Genomic DNA, 26,426 nt, shown 5'->3' on the forward strand with positions numbered 1-26,426 from the left:
ACTAGAAGCATAAACACCACGTGTTATGGGTGTCTGTTCAGTAGAAATGGGCTCTGCACTACAGAGCATGTGCTTCCCAGTACTGGAAGTGATTCATTTTCTGAAAGTTGGGTAGTAAATATCTATTCATATATTTATCAGTAGGCTTTGGGGAATTTTTTGCATAACTCATGCAAACCTTGGTGCATTTTTGTTTACTACTTCTGGCCATTATGTTTGCGAGGAAGCCTGGGACCAGTCCCCTGATTCAGGGCTTTCTTATTCTCGCTTGGGTAAACATTGACGGAGTACTTTTTCTACTTTCCCTTTTCTAAGGCTTATGTTAACTTTGAGGTTTCTGCCTCCATCGTCTTTTTCCAAATTTTTTACCCAATTTCCACAACACCACTTATTCAGAAATTGTATTTTTCCCCCATTAATTTGAATTCCACCTTTATCATATACTAAATTTCTGAATGTGTTTTGGCCTATTTTTTGATGTGTCTATTCATGCATCAGTAAGTACCACAGCATTTTAATTACTGAGGTATTATAGCATTTGTATATCTGGTAGGGTTAGTCCTTCCACATTGCTATTTTTTAGACTTTATATGCTCATTTTTGATTGCTTAATTTCCATATGAATTTACAATAAACTTGACTAGATAAAGCAGAAATGAGGCATTTTAAATAAAATCACATAACAGACCAGGCGCAGTGGCTCACGCCTGAAATCCCAGCAGTTTGGGAGGCCGAGGCAGGTGGATCACCTGAGGTCAGGAGTTCGAGACCAGCCTGGCCAACATGGGGAAACCCCGTCTCTACTAAAAATACAAAAATAAGCCGGGCATGGTGGTGCATGCCTGTAATCCCAGCTACTTGGGAGGCTGAGGTAGGAGAAGCGCTTGAACCCGTAAGTCATAGGTTACAGTGAGCCAAGATGGCGCCACTGCACTCCAACCTGGACAACAGAGCAAGACTCCATCTCAAACAAAACAAAACAAAAACAAAAACAAAAACATCACATAACATTTACAAAATAACTTAGGAAAAAATAACATATTTTGTGTTGAATCTTGCTTTTCAAAAAAAAAAAAAATCCTTGGATTTTAATATGAGTCCTTGTGTAGTGTTTTAAAGTTTTGCTTGTATTCATATTTCTCGTTATGTTTATTTCTAAATATTTTGACTTTTTGTTGCTGTTCTCATTAGTAATTTCTAATAAACTAGAAAATATACTCAAAGTGACTTAATTTTCCTATTTATATTTTTTAATTTCAGCTACAAGCTATGAAATAAGAATGAGTAAAAGTCTACAGAATATCCAAGATGACTTTAACAATGCTATTTTAGTAAATACATCAAAGCGAAATCCTCAGCAAGCTGGCATCAGGGAGATATTTACGTTCTCACCCCAAATTTCCACGAATGGACCTGAACATCAGCCAAATGGAGAAACACATGAAAGCCACAGAATTTATGTTGCAATACGAGCAATGGATAGGAACTCCTTACAGTCTGCTGTATCTAACATTGCCCAGGCGCCTCTGTTTATTCCCCCCAATTCTGATCCTGTACCTGCCAGAGATTATCTTATATTGAAAGGAGTTTTAACAGCAATGGGTTTGATAGGAATCATTTGCCTTATTATAGTTGTGACACATCATACTTTAAGCAGGAAAAAGAGAGCAGACAAGAAAGAGAATGGAACAAAATTATTATAAATAAATATCCAAAGTGTCTTCCTTCTTAGATATAAGACCCATGGCCTTCGACTACAAAAACATACTAACAAAGTCAAATTAACATCAAAACTGTATTAAAATGCATTGAGTTTTTGTACAATACAGATAAGATTTTTACATGGTAGATCAACAAATTCTTTTTGGGGGTAGATTAGAAAACCCTTACACTTTGGCTATGAACAAATAATAAAAATTATTCTTTAAAGTAATGTCTTTAAAGGCAAAGGGAAGGGTAAAGTCGGACCAGTGTCAAGGAAAGTTTGTTTTATTGAGGTGGAAAAATAGCCCCAAGCAGAGAAAAGGAGGGTAGGTCTGCATTATAACTGTCTGTGTGAAGCAATCATTTAGTTACTTTGATTAATTTTTCTTTTCTCCTTATCTGTGCAGAACAGGTTGCTTGTTTACAACTGAAGATCATGCTATATTTTATATATGAAGCCCCTAATGCAAAGCTCTTTACCTCTTGCTATTTTGTTATATATATTACAGATGAAATCTCACTGCTAATGCTCAGAGATCTTTTTTCACTGTAAGAGGTAACCTTTAACAATATGGGTATTACCTTTGTCTCTTCATACCGGTTTTATGACAAAGGTCTATTGAATTTATTTGTTTGTAAGTTTCTACTCCCATCAAAGCAGCTTTCTAAGTTATTGCCTTGGTTATTATGGATGATAGTTATAGCCCTTATAATGCCTTAACTAAGGAAGAAAAGATGTTATTCTGAGTTTGTTTTAATACATATATGAACATATAGTTTTATTCAATTAAACCAAAGAAGAGGTCAGCAGGGAGATACTAACCTTTGGAAATGATTAGCTGGCTCTGTTTTTTGGTTAAATAAGAGTCTTTAATCCTTTCTCCATCAAGAGTTACTTACCAAGGGCAGGGGAAGGGGGATATAGAGGTCACAAGGAAATAAAAATCATCTTTCATCTTTAATTTTACTCCTTCCTCTTATTTTTTTAAAAGATTATCGAACAATAAAATCATTTGCCTTTTTAATTAAAGAGTTTAAAACTTTATTGAAGAATATATATAATAATGTAGACTAGATCTAAATTTTATAACCAGGACCAATTAAGAATAAAAATTAGATTATGTTTTGGGGTGGTGGAGAGGGAAATGTGGGGAATTGGGACAGGAAGAAAGAGATAGCATGAAGCCCTAAGTGAGAGACTCAGACCAGTGCTGGGGAGAAAAACAACCAGCAAATCTCTCTACCCAGGCCACCTCCTTGCAGTTTATACTGATCCAGTGTCTGGCCTGTTACTTTCTAAGTCTCACAGTGCCTACATTTTCACAGATGAAAGCTTCAAGACACTTGCAGCTCAATTCCTAGCTGGCAGTCAATCCTTCCTCCCTCTATTGCTATTATACTTGCTAGCATGGAATTTGCTTCTCTCCAGTTTTAAACTGGGCTAGTGAAACACAGAGACGGATTGTAGTGGGTTTCAAGTTCTCGAATATTTTCCTCATTTTACAGACAGGAAAATGGAGGGTTGGGTGAGTAATTCAAAGTTTTATACTGGTTAATGGCAAAGCTATATTAGAGGTAGAGCCAGGTTCTCAGACTACTCCTTTTCTCCTATTTAAGGTGTGGGAGATGCCAGGGTTTCTACCTAGAGATATTTAACTGTTTCATGATAAGTTAGCAGGACAGCAGATCTAGCTTTAAAGAAACCTGGTGGGTTTTGTTGTTGATGTTGTTGTTGTTTGTCTTCCATTTTGTGGGTACAGGAATGGAACAAATGGACTTAAGTCCAGAAATTAGTGAGTATAAGAGGCAAAATTAAGGGGTTCTAATGATATTAAAGTAACAAACAAATATAACAGTATAGAAAGAGTGATCTCATGAAGTGCGTAGGGTAAACAGTGTTCAGTGGTTGTAAGGAGTGAAAATATTAAACAAAAAGAAAGATGTAGTAAATGTAGGAAAACACAGATTTAGAGATTCCAGCAGTCAATAGAACAGAGTCACAGTAAAGACCCTGTTGATTCCAAATACCTGATAAAAAAAATTGAAACAATAGGGCATTTGGCCAAAAAGAATGAAAAACTATGATGTGCTCGCTGGTCACTAGTGGAATACCATGATGTCAATACATGTGACATCATTAACAGTTTGACCCAAGATTGAAAGAGGAGGAAGACTGTGGGTTAGATAGACAGTTATCTGAGAGAGGGAAGAGAAGTCTATGGAATTAAGCAATATGGGCAGATATTATTTTTAAATTTCAGAATAGTCATTGTTATGTAGTGGATAGAAATTTGTTCTGGAAAGTGAAAAGAGCATTCCCCCATTTTTTGCCCTCTTCTTTTAGGAATAGTAGAGGAAGATTAATTGTCTCAATGGAAGAGAGACAAAAGTAGGGGATGGGAGATTTTTAAGAGCTGCTGATATAGCCTATGCACTGAGCAGGTCACTGTTTATGTGGACACTATTGACTTTCCCAAAAGTACGTTTGTACTTGCATGTTAATAGCAAAAAGTCTACCAAAAAAATTTGTGTATGCTTTATCTTTTATTACAATGCAATTATTCTTAGAAGAGTTAACCCCTAGATATATCTTACATTTAAAACTTAATGTGACACTGATGGTGAAGCTGCTCATATCAAACTAATCCTCTTACAAATAACAATTATAATTCTGGAAGAAAATGTAGAACACAATTCTTTAAGCAATGGATCCTGACAAAAGCAAGCAGAAACTGAAGGAGATATGACCCTTAAAAGGGGAGAATAAGTAGAGGTGGGATCCACATTTAACCAAATTTTTCCCCAAAGGATCTCCCTAGTTTGCTCAGAACATCTGGATAGAGCTCAAGCAGAAAGCAGCCATCATCCCAGATTGATAAGTCAGAAGTAAGCAATCTGGGGGTCAGATTAGTTGGAAATTGAGGAAGGGAATCCCAAAAAGAAGCAGCCACAAAGAGGAAAGTCCCCAAACCTGCATCCTCTCAATCTGAAAAAAACCCAAATTTGATTTAAACTATCAATCCACAGATCTCAGATGTTCAAGTGAGCCTAAAATAGGATCTATACAAAGAAAACACCTAGGCATATCATAGGAATGATGACTGACTACTCATCAGAAACAACTGAGGCCACAAGACAATAAAATAGCATTTTAAAGTGCTAAAAGAAAATCTGTCAACATAGAATGATTTCAAGCAAAAATGTCTTTCAAAATGTAGATAAGTAGAAGCTAATTTTTGCCAGCAAGAAATACCAAAGAAATTTCTTTAGGCTGAAGGAAAATGATGCCTGATGGAAATATAGATCTATAGCATTGAAGGGTTTTTAGAAATTATAGGCTGGGCACGGTGGCTCATGCCTATAATCCTGGCACTTTGGGAGGCCTAGGTGGGTGGATCACCTGAGGTCAGGAGTTCGAGACCAGGCTGGCCAACATGGTGAAAACCTGTTTCTACTAAAAATACAAAAATAGCTGGGCATGGTGGCGGGTGCCTGTAATCCCAGCTACTCAGAAGGCTGAGGTAGAAGAATCACTTGAACCTGGGAGGCGGAGGTTGCAGTGAGCTGAGATAGCACCACTGCACTCTAGCCTGGGAGACAGAGTGAGATTCCATCTGAAAAAAAAAAGAAAGAAAATAAAGAGATTATAAATAGGTACGTAAGTATCTATGCTGTTGGTTTGCTTTACCCAATTCCTTTAAAAAACAATTAACTATAACAGAAATAAAAACAATATATTGTGGTATTAATAACAAGAAGTAAGATATAAGATAATAAGCGCAGAATGAACATAAAGGTGACAAATGGAATTATAATATCAAAGGGTACTCTAATTATACATAAAGTGGTATAATATTAATTCAGAGTAGAGTGGGATAAATTAAGAACACATATTGTAACTCTTTTAGCACCCATTAAAAATAGAGAATTGAGGACAGGTATGGTGGCTCACACCTATAATCCTAGCACTTTGGGAGGCCTAGGTGGGAGGATTGCTTGAGCCCAGGAATTAGAGGCCTGCTAGGGCAACAAAATGCGATCCCATCTCTACAAAAAATCAAAAAAATTAGACAGGTGTTGTGGCACATGCCTGGAGTCCCAACTACATGGGATGCTGAGGCAGGAGAATCACTTGAGCCTAGCAGGTCAAAGCTGCAGTGAGCTATGCTCGTGCTACTGTACTCAGCCAGGATGACCGAGTGAGACCCTGTCTCAAAAATAATACATAAAATAAAAATATCTAAAATAAAAATATGCTAAACATCCTACAATGCACAGGACAGCCCCTGCTAGCAGCGGTTAATCAACATGGGTCTGCGGCAACTCAATTCTTGCCCCCTTGAAGGAAAGAATTTGACCGAGGGGCATAAGGCAGAGTGAGAGACTCAGGCAAGTTTTTGAGCGGGAGTAAGATTTTATTAAAAAGCTTTAGAGTAGGAACAAAAAGAGGGCCAAGGGGGCAACTTGAGAGATACAAGTGCCCTGTTTGACCTTTGACTTAGGGTTTTATACATTGGCATGGTTCCGGGGTTTGCATCTCTCCTCCCTTGATTTCTTTTCTTGGGACAGGCTGTCTGCATTCGCAGTGGCCTGCCAGCACTTGGGAGGGGAGCATGCACAGTATGTTTACTAAAGTTGTGTGCATGTTCATTTTAGGCATTTTTTTCCTTACCAGTCGAGTGTTGCTAGAGGAAGGTCATATACCAGTTAAACTCCACCATTTTGCCTCTTAGTGCACATGCTTGAGCCCACCTGCCCAATTCCTGAGATCTTACTGGGAAGCTGCTAATCACCAGCTTCAGGTGTTTTCTATCTGTTGGGAAACTACCTTCTCCTGGTGCTGGCTGCAACCAGTTATTATTTTAGAGAGACAGTTTAACAACTGCCTGACTATCACCTGGTGGCTGCCTGACATTCCTGGTGGAGGGTGGGGGGTCTGTCTCCAGTCCTACTCATGTCTGCCTAGCTACCTACTCTAATACCCCTACAACAAAGAATTATTCAGCCAAAAATGTCAATAATGTTGAGGGTGAGAAACCTTGCTTTCTAAGGAGGAAGAGAAAGAGGCAAGGATATTTGATACATAAAGAAAAGAAAAAGTGGCCTTACTGAAGGGAAAAACGGGACAAGAGTGTGAACCAGATCTAAATAAAGCTGATAAGATGAAAGAGAAGAAAGAATACATTTAAAACAAAATTAAGATGATCTATAATGGAGGATTGGATGTGTAAGACTGGTAGAAAATCCAACTCATGAAAAATAAAGATGGAATGTATATAAAGTTGGGTGGATGCTGCATTATGTGTTAAGATCTGCAAATGCAAAATGCAGGGAAACAGGAAGTAGAGGCAGAGGGAAGTCAGATGAGTAGCAGGCTCTGAAAGAAAGAAAAATCCAATTTCTTGTGTATATATTATAGGAAGTTTAATGCACAGACCTGGCACAAAAAAGAGAGGTGAAATAAGGTATGAAAGGGACACATCACAGAGTACACAGTGATAGAGAAACACACAAAGACATAGACACACAGGCATGGAGGTGATTAGAGCTTGCTCCCAAAGATCAAAAGCCATGCCTTGGTCCAAACGTCCCTCCTGCCCTTAGAATGAGTAGCTCTTATCAGCAAGATGGTTCCTGAAATGGGTGGAGAGTGACCCAGATGGTGGCCACTTTATTTCCCAGTCCCTCTCAGCTACAAGCTGCTGAGTCTTATCAAAAAGCTGCTTTCTGACAACTGTTGCCTCAAGGACCCAGGAAGGAGGAAGCTATCCAGTACAGTGGCCAATTACTTTCTATTTCCCTAGCTCTGTGTAGCAAAAGCAATATAAAAGAACAAACATCTAAAAGGAGTATGTTTTAAATTGGCATGATCTTACTTCACACCAACGTAGGAAAGAAGAAGCAAGAAAATGAAGAAGATAAAAGGTGGAGAGGGGACCGTGGTGAGGGACCCCAGAAGAAGATTGCCATTGTTGAAAGCACAGGCTTTTATAAGAAACCAATGAGGGCTGGATGTCTCATTTGCACAAGGCATGAATTTCTGGTAGCTCCGCTCTGTCCTCCTAGTGTGCATGTGGGCCCTTAGCTTGAGTTACTCCATATTGCTTTTTCCTCTTACTGCACATGTGTTAGTGGACAGAATTTTCCATTGCAGGCATGTCTGGGTAAGTCACCTGTGTAGCCTTTTTTATCTGTGCGGTTGTGGGCATGTCTTAGATAAGCCCCTCTGTGCAGGCTCCCTTATCTATGTCTGCCGGTTGTTCTTTTGTTTGAAAGGATTCAACCAAAGACCCACCCTAACTGCCTGCTTGACTGGTGTCTTCCTTCTCTCTCAAAACACCCCCATTGCCCTCTGAAGCTTGGCTGAAAAGTCAACTCACAAAAGGCAGATTAGTTGGAGAAATGGCATACAAATTTATAATGTGCACATGGAGAGAATCACAGAGTGATTGCCCACCCTCTAACAGAGTTCAGAAGCTTGTCTACCATCCTGGCAAAACAGATTATGAGACAGGGGAAAGAGGAATATAATATATTAGTGTATATATATATGTATATATATATATAATATTTATATTAGTACATATTAATACTACAGGGAAATTAAATTAGAAATCAAAAATAAATCAACTAGAGAATCCCCAAATGTCTGGAAATTAAGCAACATATTTCCACATAACTCATATGTGAAGAAAGAACTCACAATGAAAATTAGAAAACAGTTTGTAATCCCACCACTTTGGGAGGCTGAGGCAGGCAAATCACTTGAGGCAGGTAGTTCAAGACCAGCCTGGCCAACATGGCAAAACCCCATCTCTCCAAAAAATCAAAAATTTATCGGGCGTGGAGGCATGGGCCTGTAATCTCAGCTACTTAGTAGGTTGAGGCACAAGAATCACTTGAAACCCGGAGGTGGAGGTTGAAGTGAGCAGAGATTGTGTCAGCACACTTCAGCCTGGGTGACAAAGCAAGACACTGTCTCAAAAAAAAAAAAAAAAAAAAAAAAGCATATTTATATTCTGTCTGTATACACTCTGAAACTGTTTTTATAAGACTATTTCTTAGTTTCTTAAATTTCCTCCTGACTATTGCTTTAGCTTTGTCATATAAATTTTGATAGGCCATATTTTAATTATCATTTAGTTCCAAATATTTTCTAATTTTCGTGTGTGTGTGTGTGTGTGTGTATTTTGAGACAAGGTCTCACTCTGTCACCCATGCTAGAGTGCAGGTGGTGTGATCTCGGCTCACTGCAACATCCACCTCCCAGTTTCAAGCAATTCTCCTGCCTCAGCCTCCTGAGTAGCTGGGACTACAGGTCTGCACCACCATGTCCAGCTAATTTTAGTATTTTTTTGTAGAGATAGGGTTTCACCATGTTGGCCCGGCAGGTCTTAAACTCTTGACCCCAAGTCATCTGCCTGCCTCAGCCTCCCAAAGTACTGACATTACAGGTGAGAGTCACCACGCCCAGCCTCAGAATATCCTTGATACTGATACTTGGCAAGGACACTACAGGAATGGAAAAGTACACACCAGTCTTATGAACAAATATGCAAAAATCCTAAGCAACATATTAGCAAATTGAAAAGGACACTACATCATGATCAACTAAGATTTACTCTAGGAATGTAAGAGTGATTTAACATTGAAGAATCAATCATTGTAACTCATTACATTATCAGAACAAAGAAGAAAAATTATATACTCATCTTAATAGATATATAAAGAGCATTTGATAAGATTCAACACCTATTCATGATTTAACTACAACAAAAAAACACCTCTCAAAAAACTAGGAATAGAAAAAGACTTTTTTTTGTTGTTTTTTTAAAGACAGGGTCTCAAGGTCTCACTCTGTTCAAAGTGAGAGTGAGAGGCAGGATTGCAGGAGTACAGTGGCTCTCCTGGGCTTAAGCAATCCTCCCACCTCGGCCTCCCAAGTAGCTGGGACTACAGGACATGGCACCACAACTGGCTAACTTTTGTATTTTTTGCAAAGGTGGTATTTCACCATGTTGCCCAGTCTGGTCTCAAACTCAAGCAGTCCTCCTGCCTTGGCCTCTCAAAGTTCTGGGATTGCAGGTGTGAGCTACTGCACCTGGCCCAAAGAGACTTTCTTAATCTGATAAAGGTATCTACAAAATATCTCTAGGTAACAGCATACTTAATGGTAAAATATAGAATTCTTTAGAATGTTTTTCTCCCTGAGATTGGGAACAAGAAAAAAGATATCCATTATTTTCACTATTCAATATTGTACTCAAGGTCCTAGCTAGTCCAATAAGAGAAGGAAACAAAAATATTGGAAAGGAAGAATCAATATGTAATTACTCACAAATGACATAATTATATACATATAAAATCCAGAAGAATCTACAAATACTAGAATTAAGTGAATTAAACAAGTTCACTAAATGTAAGGTCCATACATAAAAATTTATTATATTTTTATATACCAGCAATAAGCAATTAGAAAATGGAATTTTATAAAAATACCATTTACAATAGCACCAAGAAAAACCCCTAAGAATAAACCTAATGAAAGATGCACAAGATCTCTATCCTGAAAACTATAAACCACAGTTGAGAAAAATTAAATAAAACTTAAAATGAAGAGCCATACCATCTCCATGGTTTGAAATACACAATATAATAAAGACGTCAATTTTTCCAAAATTGATCTGTAAACTTAATGCACCCCTATAAAACCCAGATATTTGTATGTGAAATTGACAAGCTGCTTTTAAATTTTATATTGAAATGCACCTAATGTAGCCAAAATAGTCTTGAATAAAAACAAATCTGGACTGTTTACACTACCAGATAATCAAGGTAAGGATAGTCACACAGACCAATGGAACAAGGAACAGAACAGAGAGTTCAGAAGCAGACCTGCACATCTGTAGTCACCTCATGCACAACAAAAGCACAACTGTAATTCAGTAGGGGAAATTATGGTCTTTTCAATAAATACTCTCAACTTACTGGCTATCACAGAGGAAAACAAAACAAAACAAAAACCTTGAACCTTTCCTCACACCATACACAAAAATATTTTGAGATCAATCAGTATACCTAAATGTTAAAGGTCAAGCAGCAAGGCTTCTAGAATCATATATTGTATAATATCTTCATGAATTTGGGAAAGCTGTCTTAAATATGACACAAAAACATTATACATAAAAGATTAAATTGGACTGTACTAAAATTAAAAATCTCTATTCATCTAATGATACTATTAAGGCAAGCTACAAACTAGGAGAAAATATTTTCAATATATCTTTCAATACAAAAGACTCAGTATCCAGAACATATAAAGAACTCCCATAAATCAATAAGAAAAGACAATTTAATTAAAAATTGTGCAAAAAAAAAAACTTGAAGAGATACTTCACAAAAGACCAATATGTATATAAAAAGGTCTTTAACAACATTAGCCATTAGGGAAAATGCAAATCAAAACCACAGAACGATATGACTACACTCCCAAGAAAATGGATAGTTAGAAAGACTGACAGTACAATGTACTGGTGGAAATGTGGAATAACTTGTACAACCACTTGAAAAGTATTTGGGAGATCAACATAATCTAGTATCAAAGAAAAACTTCATGCAAACACTTGTTAAAGATGGTAAGGGGTGGGAGGCATGGTGATAGGTACAAGGACCATTGCAAGGAGGTCTTGCAGTTGGGGAGAGAAAGTAGATTAACTCCAACTCCAATAAGGACAAGTGGGAATTTATAACCAAGGAGAAGGGTGGGGTCAGTGGATGAAAAATGCCTATGAGGAAACATCAAGGATAAGGAATGTCTGGCTAAACTGACTTGATAGGGTTATTGCTGAAGGCAGGCCATGGTGGAAAGATGCTGAGAATGGTCAGATACCAAACGTGGGGATTTTCCCTAAACTGACTTAGCAGGATTCTTGCTCAAACTGGATTCTGCAAGGACAGAGAGGGAAGCCCAAGGTCAGACCTAGTCAGAGAAGACTCAGGATCCTGACTTAAGTTTTGGTCAAAGGAGGGAGTCTTTGTCACTAGATAGATGTATACCCTGTCACCCAGCAATGTCACTCTTTGTATATTTGCAACTGAAATCAATGCTTACATCTATGGCATCTTCATTCATAATAGTCCCAAACTGGAAATAGTCCAAATGTTCATCAAGAGTGGGTGGTAAGTAAATTGCAGTATTTTTTACAGTGGAATGGAATGGAAAAAGAACATATTACTGCTACATTCAACAACTTGGCTGAATCTCATATAGAAAATGTTATGTCACAATAGCGAAATGCAAGAGTACATACAGCATATTTCTGTTTATATGAAGTTCAAAAACAGGCAAAATTAACCTATGTGGCATAGAAGTCAGAATAGCAATTATCTTTTGGGGGGATTTACTGGAAGGGAATGCAAAGGAAACTTCTAGAATGCTGGAAATATTCTTTGGTGAAAGGTTGTCCCTTAGGGTGCTAACTCCCTGCATCTCTGGTTTCTGTTATTTGGCCCATTTGGGCTGCCTCTGACAAAGCCAGATCCCAGTACCATGGTGCAGTGATTTATCTGAGCCAAAAGCCTCCACACATCCATTCAATCCAGACTTGGGAACGGGAGAGAATGGAGGAGCTGCCCCCACAATCTGCACAGTGAAGGCCATGCTAAACTAGGCCCTCTTCCTGGGGAAAGCTAAGAAGAAACACTGGTATTAGGAGATGTGTGAATTTTAGCAGCAGCCAGGACTCTCCACTGAGCAAGCAGCCAAGACCCAGCTTGCAGGGAATGCCAAGCAAATTTGGAGAGCACTTAAACTGAGTCTGTCACACCAGATGACCTCTGTCATAGGGAAATGCAGCAGCTGCAGCCAACAAGGGCAGGACAACTAAAGACCCCACTCAGGGATGAAGGGTGGGATTACCCCAACAAGAGAACAAACAATACAGATCAACCAAAATGCTGAGTAAAAGTGAGGGAAATAGGTGATAAAGGAGGGAGATTATAAAAGCCTTGAGACCAGCTGTAACAGCAGGCATTGCAATTTATTTCAATAACCTTCTTGCCTTATGCACTTGAGCAGATTGCAATTGACCACCACTTTGAAGGAGATTCTGTAAATGATTAAACTTGTACCTTCTCTCAGGGGAAAAGTGAGACAGCTAGTGCTCACACACACAGAAACACAAATCCTACATTATAATATTGGAGCTTGATATGATGAAAGTACTAGAGTGAATCTGAGCAGCTCAGAGTGAACTGTATCAGACTCTTCTTATTGAACCTCCTCAGATTTGCTTGGTTCCATCTGTCTACCGGGCACTCAGTCATTTGCTCCACCTCAGTCACTATCCACTCCTTGCAGGTCCAAGCAGTTCCACTGCCTGAGGTCAAGCTGCCACCTCTTGTAACCCCTGGCTCCTCACATACCACAAGGCATGGGGGTCTCTCTTTCTAAGCGACTGCCGAAAGGGCTGGATGACACAGCCAGGAAGTCTGGGGGGAGATGATCACCTGTAGAAGATGAGAAGGAGCCAAACGCTTTTCCTTCCTCTCTCCAAAGGGCTGCTCCAAGGCGTGGTTTCTTTGCACAGCCCCTTAGGAGACAACCCACACAGGAAGGCAAGGGCGCCTGTGGGCTGGCCTGCTGGGTGTCTCCATTGCAGGGCTTAGTAATGCTCCTCCTTTAGTTGCTTCCCAGCCTTCCCTGACTCATTTCCCCATTCCCTCATTCTCACTGCTCTGGGATTAAACTCTCAAACTCTTAGCACATATGCCTGCCTTAGGCTCTGTTTTTTAGGGAACCCAGGCAAAGACACATACATTTGGGGTCTGAGATATCTTGGAATCTACATTTTTAAATTTTGTATGAATAATAAATGTATATGTATTTTGATATAAAAGCATATTTTGGATCATCTGGACAACCACATTATAATTGAGCATTTCCACTCTATTTCAGTGTTTCCCTTTTAACTGCTTAAGATTATGCTAGATATAAAGGGTATTCAATTAGGAAAAGAGGAAGTCAAATTGTCCCTGTTTGCAGATGACATGATTGTATATCTAGAAAACCCCATTGTCTCAGCCCAAAATCTCCTTAAGCTGATAAGCAACTTCAGCAAAGTCTCAGGATACAAAATCAATGTACAAAAATCACAAGCATTCTTATACACCAACAACAGACAAACAGAGAGCCAAATCATGAGTGAACTCCCATTCACAATTGCTTCAAAGAGAATAAAATACCTAGGAATCCAACTTACAAGGGACGTGAAGGACCTCTTCAAGGAGAACTACAAACCACTGCTCAAGGAAATAAAAGAGGATACAAACAAATGGAAGAACATTTCATGCTCATGGATAGGAAGAATCAATATCGTGAAAATGGCCATACTGCCCAAGGTAATTTACAGATTCAATGCCATCTCCATCAAGCTACCAATGCCTTTCTTCACAGAATTGGAAAAAACTACTTTAAAGTTCATATGGACAAGATGAAATTAATGCTTATCACCATCTGAAGACCAAATGAATTTATGAACGAAGAGATATTTCAAGTATTTCAATACAAGAAAATGGGGGGCCAATTTGAGGTTCCACCTGAGGTTTGGCAAATTGAAAGAATATACACAGCCACTGACAGCCCATAATTCATGTTCCTAGGGACATTTAGTTTCAGCAAAATAATTTAATGATGTTAATTGGAATTTTATTGACTGGTAGGAGCTATGCAATAGAGAAAGCAGAAATCTGATGAGGAACTTGGAGTATGCTTTGCAAAGTAAGATATACATTTTATCTTTACTCTCCATTATAAAATAGTCAATAATATCTACATCACTTGCTAATGCTTTTGGTACAAATGGATGTGGAATATAATTGAATATTTTCTTGTTTAAGGGGAGCATGAAGAGGTGTTGAGGTTATGTCAAGGTAAACAAAACCACCATTGTGGTAAAGACCACCATGAGGGATAACTGAATATATGGCTTACAAAATGTTTACTGAATAAGCAGAACAGTCTGGATTTTCCTGGGCAGGAGGGGGTTGGGGGCTTTGGGTGGGTTGGTGTCCATGGCTTGGTAAACATTTCCAAGAAGTAAACAAACCTATCAGCGGCCAAGCTGCTTGTCACCTGTGAGTGCTTCCAAGGAACCGGATGTGGGCTCCCCCACCCTTACCCCAGCATCTGGCACAGCTGAAGGCAGATGGAAATATTTACAAGTACGCAATTTGAGACTAAGATATTGTTATCATTCTCCTATTGAAGACAAGAGCAATAGTAAAACACATCAGGTCAGGGGGTTAAAGACCTGTGATAAACCACTTCCGATAAGTTGGAAACGTGTGTCTATATTTTCATATCTGTATATATATAATGGTAAAGAAAGACACCTTCGTAACCCGCATTTTCCAAAGAGAGAAATCACAGGGAGATGTACAGCAATGGGGCCATTTAAGAGTTCTGTGTTCATCTTGATTCTTCACCTTCTAGAAGGGGCCCTGAGTAATTCACTCATTCAGCTGAACAACAATGGCTATGAAGGCATTGTCGTTGCAATCGACCCCAATGTGCCAGAAGATGAAACACTCATTCAACAAATAAAGGTAAGTTCATAGTAATTATCCATACTTTTTTAAAAATAGCATAATGTTGTGATAGAGAGAACATGAGTGCCCTATTCCAGCTGCACGACACTGGCATGTATTTTTATGTCTAAGTCTCAGTTTCTTCATCTGTAAAATGGAAATAATAACAAGTTAACCATTAGGATTCTTGTGTCAGATAAGATAATGAATGCAATGCACATAACTCAGAGTGATATACTGTTGGCAACTGATAAATGATAAATTGATATGTACTGCTGTGGATTATGTCACTGAAAATTATTTAGTTCTATAGTAAGGCAGAGTCAGCTACATTTGACAGATATTGTGAGATGCACAGATCCTTTGCCTGATTTTACCCTTGGCACGAGTCAGACTCTCCTTTTATTCTCCTAATAGGAACCCCCTTCCCTGTGATCCTAAAAGGAGCCCCAGATGCAAATCTCTGATATAAGAACAACCCTGACCTTCTGATGGGAGAAAACCTTGCATTTTATCAGTCCCAATTCAAGGGATCCTTTCAGAGATTTCTTGCTACCTCTTATGTAGCAGAAGGGAAAGGAAGAAGACTTCCTGTCCTGGCAGGGGTATCTATACCATTGAAGAAGGTCTTGTACAACAACAAACAGCTAAAACTAAGAGGGAAATGCTTTATAAAAGACCGCCCTGGAATCTGGCTGTAACACATCCAGAGGCAGTGCTGTACTAGTAACAGTATTAGTCTGTAAAATGGGAATAATAATAATAAATATCTCCCTTATCAGATTTTGTGAGGATCAAAGTTTAAAATGCATGCATATAAAGGGAAGCTGGGTGGAGTATGTAAGAATACGGTGCAATACTTTGCATGTCTTCTGTTCATCTAAATTTATCTCAGAACTTTAAAAAATAACTTTAAAAATGCATGCATAGTGCCTGGTACATAGTAAGAGCTCAATAAATGGTGGATATAGTCATTGGCTCTCTCTAGATGGAAAATTAATAGAACAAGGGCCCAGAGGGATTTCCCCAGAGATCCACTGCTCTAAGCAGAGGCAAATATAGAAAGATAATGTTTGGAAAGAAAACCATCTCTACAGTGTGTGGTTAGAGAATTGCAGCAGTAGGGGATAGGGATAGGGAACAGAGTGGAGGGTGTCACTCACCATAAAGCTTACCTACTTAACCCAAAGAGGATCAGGCTGTCTGTGGTAAAAGGGAGATTCAGACCTCTTGAATCTCTCAATCATCTAAAATGTTGAGTGAGTTTTTGATTGTTTCTAAATTTGGAAGTGGCATCAGCAAACATGTGACCAGTGTGTTTCAGTCTCTGGCTAGACAGTGGGGTTCAGCAATATGCCAGAAGGAGAATGTAGATGCCGTATTCATCTTCAGTGACCGTGGTAATTTGTATCTACAGTATATAGTGACTAGAGCTTTCAAAGTGCTTCTACTTCATTGTCCTTGGAGGTTTTCCTCCCGAGATACGTACTTCTCGCTACAATTATTAAATTGTCTTTCCAGTATGGATCCTAAAGTTGGGGGTGAGATAAGTTGGCTTCCATCATTTCCTTCTCTGTAACAAGAACACTTTAGTGAATAGAATGCTCAAAGTCCCTAACTCCTTCCTATTTGATGTTCCAGATCTGCAGAGTTGAGGGACCTCGTTGAGGGCTTGGCCACCTTTCCCAACCATTCCTCCCTCTACTCCAACAACCTTCTTGCTGATGAGAGACTCTCCCCTGGTGCCCCTGTGGGGACAGAAGCCCCTAACTCAGCTTTTAAAATATTTGCTTCAGCAGGACAGTCCCCAGATTTCCCCACCTACAAGAGCAGTTAATCGCTCTGCACCACTTCCATCCACTGCATTCTTGCTAATATTAGCAGGGGGAGTACACGTCACAAGATGAGGAAGGGAGAGTCAGAGAGAAACTCTCTCTTCCCCCGTCAAATATACATACACACACACCACACGCACAAGCTCGTGTGCACACACACACGCCCATGCACACACGCAGACATACACGCACACACGCACGTCAGAAGGTACACAGTAGGGTTATTTTGGAGTCTCTGCAATGCTCAGCACCCCAGGCACTGTGCCTGTCTTGGCAGTTCTATACCACTTTGCCATTTACTAAACCCACTTTATTTATCCATTTGTTTGTTTATTCATTCAACAAATATTTACAGAGCATCTAAATTATGTCAGGTACTAGAAGTCCAGTGGTCAATATACTGTCCCTGTCCTGAAGGAATTTCTAGCCCATTCTATAAACTGTCACCCCCAACCTTCTCTCAGCCTAAGAGTCTAAATATGTATTAGGATATGAGGTCATTTTCTGAAAATCTGAAACAGATGCCAAAACAAAGATCCCTTATTATTGTTTCTATTACAATGTGGAAGACAAGAGCATTTCATGGTACTTATTCTTCCTGGGAGACATTGGAAATTCACATTTCACAAGTCAAATGGTAAAACAATACTCTAATATATGAAGTTTTATACCTACTTTTCAAGTTTTTGGTGATCTTGGCTCATTTTTTAATTTTATTTTTTAAAGTGACATAATATTAAACTCTCCTAGTGAGTGTTAAAAATCTGGGAGTTTTAGAAGGAGAAAATGTAAATCATTAAGAACACTTAAAAAAATAGAGGCAACCATTATTATCACTATTTGAAAGGGAGAAATTGAGGCTCAGAGAAGTAAAATAAGTTCTTTAAGTTTACCCCTTAGGAAGAGGCACAGCAGGACTTACCCGTGCACTAACACCCAAGTGCTGCTTCCCCATAAAATGGTGAAGCATTTCTGCTCCTAACACGACCCCCACTAGGCAATGGAGTCTAGTCACTCTGGTCTGTTCCCGCAAGGACTTTGCTCCTGCAATGACCCCTTTTTCTTTTACATTTTTGTTTTTTTTTTCATTAGCATAGAAATATTTTATAATATAATATTAAAACAAACAAAACTGTCTTGTCCTGAAGTCCACTTCCAGCTGCTGCCTATTTCTCCATTCCCCTTTAGTTCACAGAAAAACTTCTGAACCTGTTGTTGTCTGTATTTACTGTCTCCACTGCCTCACCTCCCACTTTCTTGAAACCACTCTTACGGAGCTGCTGTATTTATTCCACTACTAGGGCTCACCATGCTGCCAAGTCCAGTGATCAGTTCTTAGTCCTCATATGAAGTGATGGCTCAGCAGTGCTTGACACCGATGATCACGCCCTCCTCCCTATAGCTCTCTCATCCCACAGCTCCTCATTTCCTCTGCAGGCACTGACTGCCCTTCTGAGGCCCCTGTATTGGCTCCTCCTCTTTCTACCTCTGAATGCTGGGGTCCCCCACATTCCCTGGGCTCAGTCTTCAGCCTCTTTTTTCCTCTGTCTATGCTCACTTTCGAAGCAAATGGTTTTCAGTCCTAACAGATACACTGCCCCCTTTCTATAACAGTATCTTCTATCACTCTCCCTACTCTCTCGTCATAACATATCACAGGGAATCTGCAGACACATTTATAATTTAACGCTGCAGCTATTTCATTTTAGAGAAGTAAAATTAGGTGTAATTTGAAAATATATAATTATGCTATTTTCTTATATCTCTTAGTACCACACTGCACAAAAAATAAATACTTCTATCAGCACTTGGCAAAGTTTAAAAAAAAGAAAAATGAATCAATAAATAAATAATACCACAACATTTAGTATTACATTTAATTTGACTTAGTATATAATCCCAAAATTATTACAGGAGTCAGCAGGTGTTAAAATCACATTCACTTTTTCTCTTCATTACTACTTGCTGTGAGACCTTGAGAATTATACTAAGTCTCAGTTTCACCCTCAAAGATTTGTGGATTCTCAAAGAAGCAAGTGAAACGCATAGCTAATATTTTATACTTGCTTGTGCGAAGTAAACACTGTTCCTAGCACATCATATGTTTCACTTTGTTCCTCACCACAACCTTATCAGCCAGTCACTATAATATAATATTCCATTTTGTTAATGGGAAAACTGAGGCTCAGAATTAGAAATTGCCGAATGTCCCACAAAAAGTGGTGCAGCCAGGATTAGAGTCTGTCTCCAGAGTCTGCATTGTTACTGATTACTCGGTGACACAGAATATTTGGTAAATGCTCTCAAAGCTTAGCTATTATTATTAAAAGGTATTTCTATATTTCTTCTTCCCATCTTAACAAATAACAAGTTTTTGAAAATGTGAAATCCAGATGTGAATTTGAATGACTGATAATTTAATTTATTTTCAGTCAATTGTTACGTATGTTTTCTTTTTCTTCCCAGGACATGGTGACCCAGGCATCTCTGTATCTGCTTGAAGCTACAGGAAAGCGATTTTATTTCAAAAATGTTGCCATTTTGATTCCTGAAACATGGAAGACAAAGGCTGACTATGTGAGACCAAAACTTGAGACCTACAAAAATGTGAGAATATCAAGTTCTTCTTTAAAATTCCACTTTCTCCTGTAACCAAGATTTTTTAAAATCAAAATATTCTAGAATCAAATGTGATTGTTTGAAACTTACTCCAGTACGAATATGGTTAATTCATTTGCTGAAACTTTGTGATGATAGAAACTTTTTCTTAAATTTCAGGCTGATGTTCTGGTTGCTGAGTCTACTCCTCCAGGTAATGATGAACCCTACACTGAGCAGATGGGCAACTGTGGAGAGAAGGGTGAAAGGATCCACCTCACTCCTGATTTCATTGCAGGAAAAAAGTTAGCTGAATATGGACCACAAGGTATGAAATATTCTACCATACTTCTCATACAATTTAACTATTTTATGTTCAAAGTGTATCAACACTAGCATTATCTTTGTGAGTAAGCATGTATAAGCCAAACAATTAGAGATAAAACATCATAGCATTTTTCACTTAAAATAGAACATGCATTTCACTTAGAATTTCCAGCATTTCTCAGCTATGAATTTAATTTACTTTAGATACATGTATAAATACGGTATTTTGAATTCTCGTAAATTATTATTATAGCATCATACTATAACTGTAAAAGAATTTAATTTGTATTAAGTTTCTATGGATATGTAAGGAGACAACGGAATTAAATCTTCTACCTGCAATTCATACAATAGCCACCAGATGGCGTATATGTGCAGTGCTCTCAGACGTGCATTCAAATTATATATGAATCTTGTTAAAATGTGGATTCTCCTTTAGGAGGCCGAGGCGGGCGGATCACGAGGTCAGGAGATCAAGACCATCCTGGCTAACACAGTGAAACCCCGTCTCTACTAAAAATACAAAAAATTAGCCGGGCGTGGTGGCGGACGCCTGTAGTCCCAGCTATTTGGGAGGCTGAGGCAGGAGAATGGCGTGAACCCGGGAGGCGGAGGTTGTAGTGAGCCAAGATCGCGCCACTGCACTCCAGCCTGGGCGACAGAGCGAGACTCCGTATCAAAAAAAAAAAAAGGGGGGGGATTCTCATTCATTAGGTGTGGGATGGGACTCAAGAATCTGCATTTTTAACAAGCTCACAGGAGATGTTGATTCTACCGGTCTGTGGATCACACTTTGAGTAGCAGACAGAATACCTTTGCAATTCATCTCTCAAAAACATGTAACTAAAGAAAAAACTCCAATGATAAATAAACTTTATCATTTGTATATGAGGTACATATAACAATTATTGGAGGAAATATTAAACAAGTAATGACATATATATAAAATGTACTTTCCAAGAATCAAATGTGACTCTTTACTAAATAACTAGCATTAGATTTCTTTACCTCAAAAAAGATTTGGATCCCCTAGAACCAGCTTGATTTTTTTTAACATATAAGGCACAGAAAACAAGCAAACAAAAGAACGCTATCCAAGCCCCATCCCCAAACACACTAGAGCGCTTAAAGACCTGGTCAAAAGGATGTGTCAAGCGTACCTCTTTGTTGTTCTACAACACATTTCACCTCCATAACAGGAACAGAACATTCTCAATGTATGACTCAACAAATAAGTGTTGAATTGATTGACCTGACTGCCTCATCCCACTCCTGAGCCCACTCCAGCCATCATGATCATATATAAAACCATTCCTTAATAGTGTTTCCTTTCTGTATTGTGACTCCACTCCAACTCTCTCACAATCATCTTTAAAGAGACCACCAATACCTACAGAATAAAGTCCCAATCCTTAGTGTGGGATACTGAGTTTCCACAGAATGCCCCACCTCACATAACCCTCCAAATTCAGCCTTCCTTGGAATTTACATTCCAGAAAAACTGAGCTGTACATAAGTCATTCACTCAAGTTTAACAAATATCACTGAATGCCTGCTAAGTTCTAGACACTATGTGCCCAGATATGACAGTGAAGAAGTCATATTGTCTGTCCTCATGGAGACAATTTTCTATTGTGGGAGACTGGCAAGTAAGTAGCAATGACTGTTTATCATTGTAAGTGCCTAATGGGAGATGGTGAAATGCAAACGCGGAGTACTGGGCCTAAGATGAGGATTTCAGGGCAGGCTTCTAGGCACATAGAAGCTTGATTTTCAAAGAAGAATAAGAGTTATCCAGACAAAGATGGGAAGGAAGTATTCCAAGCTAAGGAAACATAGGTAAAAAAAGACCAGAGTTGAACAAGAGCATGATATGACCTAGGAAAAAAAGGAGTTCAGGAATTCATCCTAATTCTAGAGTTTGGGAAGGGAGTGGAGAACAGCAAGAAATAAGGCTGCAGAGAAGAGCAGGCCTGAGGCATCAGGGACCTTGTACACCATGTTGAGAAGTTGGACTTACCCTGAAGGATGGAGACATGGAGGCCAATCTGGTGACTATTGCAGCAATTCAGGAGTAAGTGGCAATGGGCCTGGAAAGGTGAGAATGAATAAAAAAGACAGAGATGGAGTAAGCAGACCTTGAGGTCTGATGGGATAGGAGCCATGAGGGAGGAGAATTGGTTGAGGATGCTGCCCTGGCTGCTGTAGGAATGCCTGGGCTCCCATAGCCGCCTTTGCTGACCTCTGTCATCATACCTGTACCACCAGGCATTTTAGCTTCTAATCACACATGCCCTCCACTACACCAGGAGCTATGTGAGGATAGGGCAGCTGTTTGTGTCTGAATAACGGCTTGGCACTTACTAGGTGCCTGATTAACATTTGATAAGCCAAAATAAGTATTTATATTTTAAGAAAACGTACAGTTATATTAGATCTAAAGAAATCAAGTCTTTAATTTAAAAAATTAACACAGCAAAGCATAAATATTCCAAACATTGCTTTCTTCCAGTGTGAGAAGGTAATTTTGCCATTCTTATTGTAATCAGTTTTTTAAAATACTTTCTCACAGGTAGGGCATTTGTCCATGAGTGGGCTCATCTACGATGGGGAGTATTTGACGAGTACAATAATGATGAGAAATTCTACTTATCCAATGGAAGAATACAAGCAGTAAGGTATGTATATTTTGATTTAACTTGTTCCAAACTATTTTAAATTGCAACCTTTTTTTCTTGAATTGATTACTTTAAAAAATGTGTGTCCTGGCTTATTTTCTAATTCAAATTCATTCTTAGTGCCTTCTTTTTCAGATTTCCACAAAACTACCATTTTGTTTACTTTACAAGTGCTTCAGTTAATTGAATTATTCACTCTGCAGCTAGAAGTCATTTGCCTCCTTTTTTCTTTTTTTTTAACTGTACCAACTATAAAAAATCTACAGTTGCTGTGTTTAGTGTCTCCATCATCCCATACCAGCATCAGTGACGTAAGCAGAGCTAATGAGGCTCTTCGGTGCCTTCAGGGCAGAATAATAATATCTTCTTTTTTTGAGAAAGGGTCTTACTCTGTCACCCAGGCTGGAGCGCAGTGATGCAATCACAGCTCACTCCAGCCTCAGCCTCCCGGGCTCAAGCAATCCTCCCACCTCAGCCCCCTGAGTAGCCGGGACTACAGGCACACATTACCACATCAGACTAATTTTTATATTTTCTGTAGAGATGGAGTCTCACCATGTTGCCAGGCTGATCTTAAGTTTTCGTACAGGCAGGGTGTCCTTATGTTGCCCAGGCTAGTGTTGAACTCCTGGACTCAAGAGATCCTCCCACTTCGACCTGCCAAAGTGCTGGGACTACCTCTGACATCATGGTGGCGTGAGCCACCATGCCCGGCCCAGAATGGTATCTGTGTGGACTCTGTCAGTATGAATGGGCTTGGGAGGGACTGTGAAACTTATCTGAAAAACAATCCAAATATCAAAGCAAAACAGAAACTCCTCCCAGTTTGAATTAAACCTTGCGCGATGTCAGTAGAAATCAAGTACAACACTTGGAAAGAACGCTTGGCTGCCATGAATTTATGGGCTAATTCTTGCAGCCAGCAGTCTCAGTGCACAAAAACTGCTTTAGTGCAAACAGAAGTGATAGGGAACTTCCTAATTTATTTTAAAGAGTTAGTACAACTCAGATACTAAAACCTGACAAATGGAATGAAAAAATTCTGTAGCTACAGGCTCTCTAAAAAGATAGAGGCAAAGATTTCAAATAAAAGGATAGTAAATTACATCTGGCAAAATTAAGGGAAAAACAAACATATTAAAGCCAAGTAAGAATGTCTTCCAGAAATCCAAAAATGTTGTAATAGTAAGTAATGAATATAGTATATGAAGAAAAGAAGAAAATAAATGATTGTTCCAATAGATTCTCAAAAGAAACTTGATAAAAACGCACACTTATTCCTGCATTTAAAAACAACACCATCTTTTTAAGTAGAAGTTGGTACAACACCCTCTCCATGTCTGCTTCCGGTCTTGCTTGCCTGATGGCCCTTTAAGGAGATGCACTCGGCTTTGATTCCTAACTGTCTTGACCTAGTACAATTTTTTCAAAAGGGGCTCAGAACACAGATTTGGCTTCCATTTCTCGCACAGGACCATTACTGCTCTTTACTTTTCTCTTTCTTTATAACAGTCAGACTCTGTACACTTGGCCCATTTCCATTATATTATGCCTCATTGTTGGATCTCTTCAGGCATAAAGAGACATCAAGTGGGCCGGGCATGGTGGCTCACATCTGTAATCCCAGTACTTTGGGAGGCCGAGGCAGGATCACCTGAGGTCAGGAGTTCAAGACCAGCCTGGCCAACATGGAAAACTCCGTCTCTACTAAAAATACAAAAAAATTGGCCATGTGTGATGGCACACACCTATAATCCCAGCTACTCAGGAGGCTGAGGCAGGAGAATTGCTTGAACCCGGGAGGCGGAAGTTGCAGTGAGCCGAGATCACACCACTGCACTCCAGCCTAGGCAACAGAGCAAGACTCCATCCCCCCGAAAAAAAAAAGAGAGAGAGAGAGACATCAAGTGCACTGCTGCCTCCTAGAGCCATGCACAGCCTTCCTGATGCCTTCGGCCTGTACACTCTGCACTACATGGACCACAGCACAGAGGGGCTTCTCTGATGCAATCATACGTTGCTTTGACTTTTCAAACCCAGTGGGCACCATTCCAAACCTGATATCTCTTTCCCAGTTCTCTTTCCTAAGCTTCCAGCCAGTTAGACACCATATATTGCCTTGGCAGAAAGGGTGATTAGTAGTATTTCCTTCTAGAGATATTCTAGAAATGAGTACATATACAACACATTTTTCTTTCGACAGATAAGACATGATCGCCATGTCCTCTTTAAAACTTTTAATTTCAATATATTAATAATATGTATTGCTCATTATCTTCCAAATTTTTAAATTATTTTTAAGGCTTAGAAGCAATCACACAAATAACAGCACTGCCCAGGACAGGAGGTTACTTCATTCATATGATACAGAACATCTGTTCAAAGCTAACAATCTACCTCATATTTAATAGGGAAACACTAGAGACACTGCCAGGACTAAGAATAGCCACTATTATCACAATTATTCAATCTTGCTTAGGAAATTGTGGCCAATGTAATAAAACTGGGGATGTAAAAAGATGGAAAGGAAGAGAGAAAATCATTGTTATGCAGATGATCTGTGATCCACTTAGAAAACACAAGGAAATAAATTGAAATTAAAATTGACAAGGGAAGCCAATAAGGTGACCAAATACAAAATAAATATTCAAATTACTTTTCCATATATTAGCAATAACCAGTTCAAAAATATAATAGAACAATACTTCAAGACAGCAATGAAAGGTATGATAAAAGTAGAAACAATGCTAAGAAATGTGGAAGATGTATTTAAAGAAAACTATAAAATCCTTCTCAAGGGGTTAAAAGAAAACCAAGGTAAATTGGGAAACATTCAATTCATGGAAGATATAAACGCAAACAAAATTCATATATAGGGTTTATGAAACGCTAATCAAAAGTACATCAATTTTTACCTCATTAAAAAAATCTAAGAGTTCGTTGAGTAGATAGTAGCTAAGATCATTTTGGGAACAAGAAAGTAATAAAGGGAATTCTTACTTTTCAAATTTTAAATATGCTATAAAACTACATTAATTAAAACAATGTGAGCCAGGGCACAGTGGCTCACGTCTGTAATCCCAGCACTTTAGGAGGCCGAGGCAGGCAGATCACAAGGTCAGGAGATCGAGACCATCCTGGCTAACACAGTGAAACCCTGTCTCTACTAAAAATACAAAAAATTAGCCAGGCGTGGTGGCGGGTGCCTGTAGTCCCAGCTACTTGGGAGGCTGAGGCAGGAGAATGGCATGAACCCGGGAGGCGGAGCTTGCAGTGAGCCGAGATCATGCCACTGCACTCCAGCCTGGGCAACAGAGTGAGACTCCATCTCAAAAAACAAACAAACAAACAAACAAACAATGTGGGCAGACATTACACATATGATAATTTAGTTATTATAGGTAGAATTACAAGTCTGTGAAGAAAGATAGGATTTCTTGAGATAGACAATTTTTTAACTGTGTGGGGAAAAAATTAACAGACTCTTTTCCAATTGGATGGACTCTTTAAAGATAAAAAGCAGAATGATAATGAAAACTAGAAGAATGTTAATAAGTATCAAATCCCTAGATAACAAAACTCTTTCAATGCATTCAATCATTGAAAAATATAACTAAGAGAATAATAAATGTGGCTACATATAAATTAAAAATTTTGTTGCACACAAACCAAACATAAACTAAATAAAAAGGAAAAA

At 38.9% G+C, this 26,426-nt stretch overlaps 2 protein-coding genes and 1 long non-coding RNA gene across 3 annotated transcripts in view; 2 read left to right on the forward strand and 1 right to left on the reverse strand.

Moving 5' to 3' along the window:
* The window catches only part of CLCA2 (chloride channel accessory 2), a 32,383-nt gene extending 29,654 nt beyond the window's left edge, over positions 1 to 2,729 (forward strand). The window contains exon 14 of the mRNA NM_006536.7: positions 1,261 to 2,729. Coding sequence (NP_006527.1) covers positions 1,261 to 1,703 — 443 coding nt within the window. The 3' untranslated portion in view covers positions 1,704 to 2,729. The remainder of the gene's footprint in view (positions 1 to 1,260) is intronic.
* A 12,373-nt stretch (positions 2,730 to 15,102) lies between these two features.
* Positions 15,103 to 26,426, forward strand: part of CLCA1 (chloride channel accessory 1) — a 31,333-nt gene continuing 20,009 nt past the window's right edge. The window contains exons 1-4 of the mRNA NM_001285.4: positions 15,103 to 15,309; positions 19,593 to 19,733; positions 19,905 to 20,052; positions 22,624 to 22,729. Coding sequence (NP_001276.3) covers positions 15,148 to 15,309; positions 19,593 to 19,733; positions 19,905 to 20,052; positions 22,624 to 22,729 — 557 coding nt within the window. The 5' untranslated portion in view covers positions 15,103 to 15,147. The remainder of the gene's footprint in view (positions 15,310 to 19,592; positions 19,734 to 19,904; positions 20,053 to 22,623; positions 22,730 to 26,426) is intronic.
* The window catches only part of LOC124904210 (uncharacterized), a 51,701-nt gene continuing 47,346 nt past the window's right edge, over positions 22,072 to 26,426 (reverse strand). The window contains exon 3 of the long non-coding RNA XR_007066206.1: positions 22,072 to 22,141. This is a non-coding gene — a long non-coding RNA (uncharacterized LOC124904210). The remainder of the gene's footprint in view (positions 22,142 to 26,426) is intronic.

Source organism: Homo sapiens, chromosome 1, assembly GCF_000001405.40.
Source record: "Homo sapiens chromosome 1, GRCh38.p14 Primary Assembly".
NCBI classification, from domain to species: domain Eukaryota; kingdom Metazoa; phylum Chordata; class Mammalia; order Primates; family Hominidae; genus Homo; species Homo sapiens.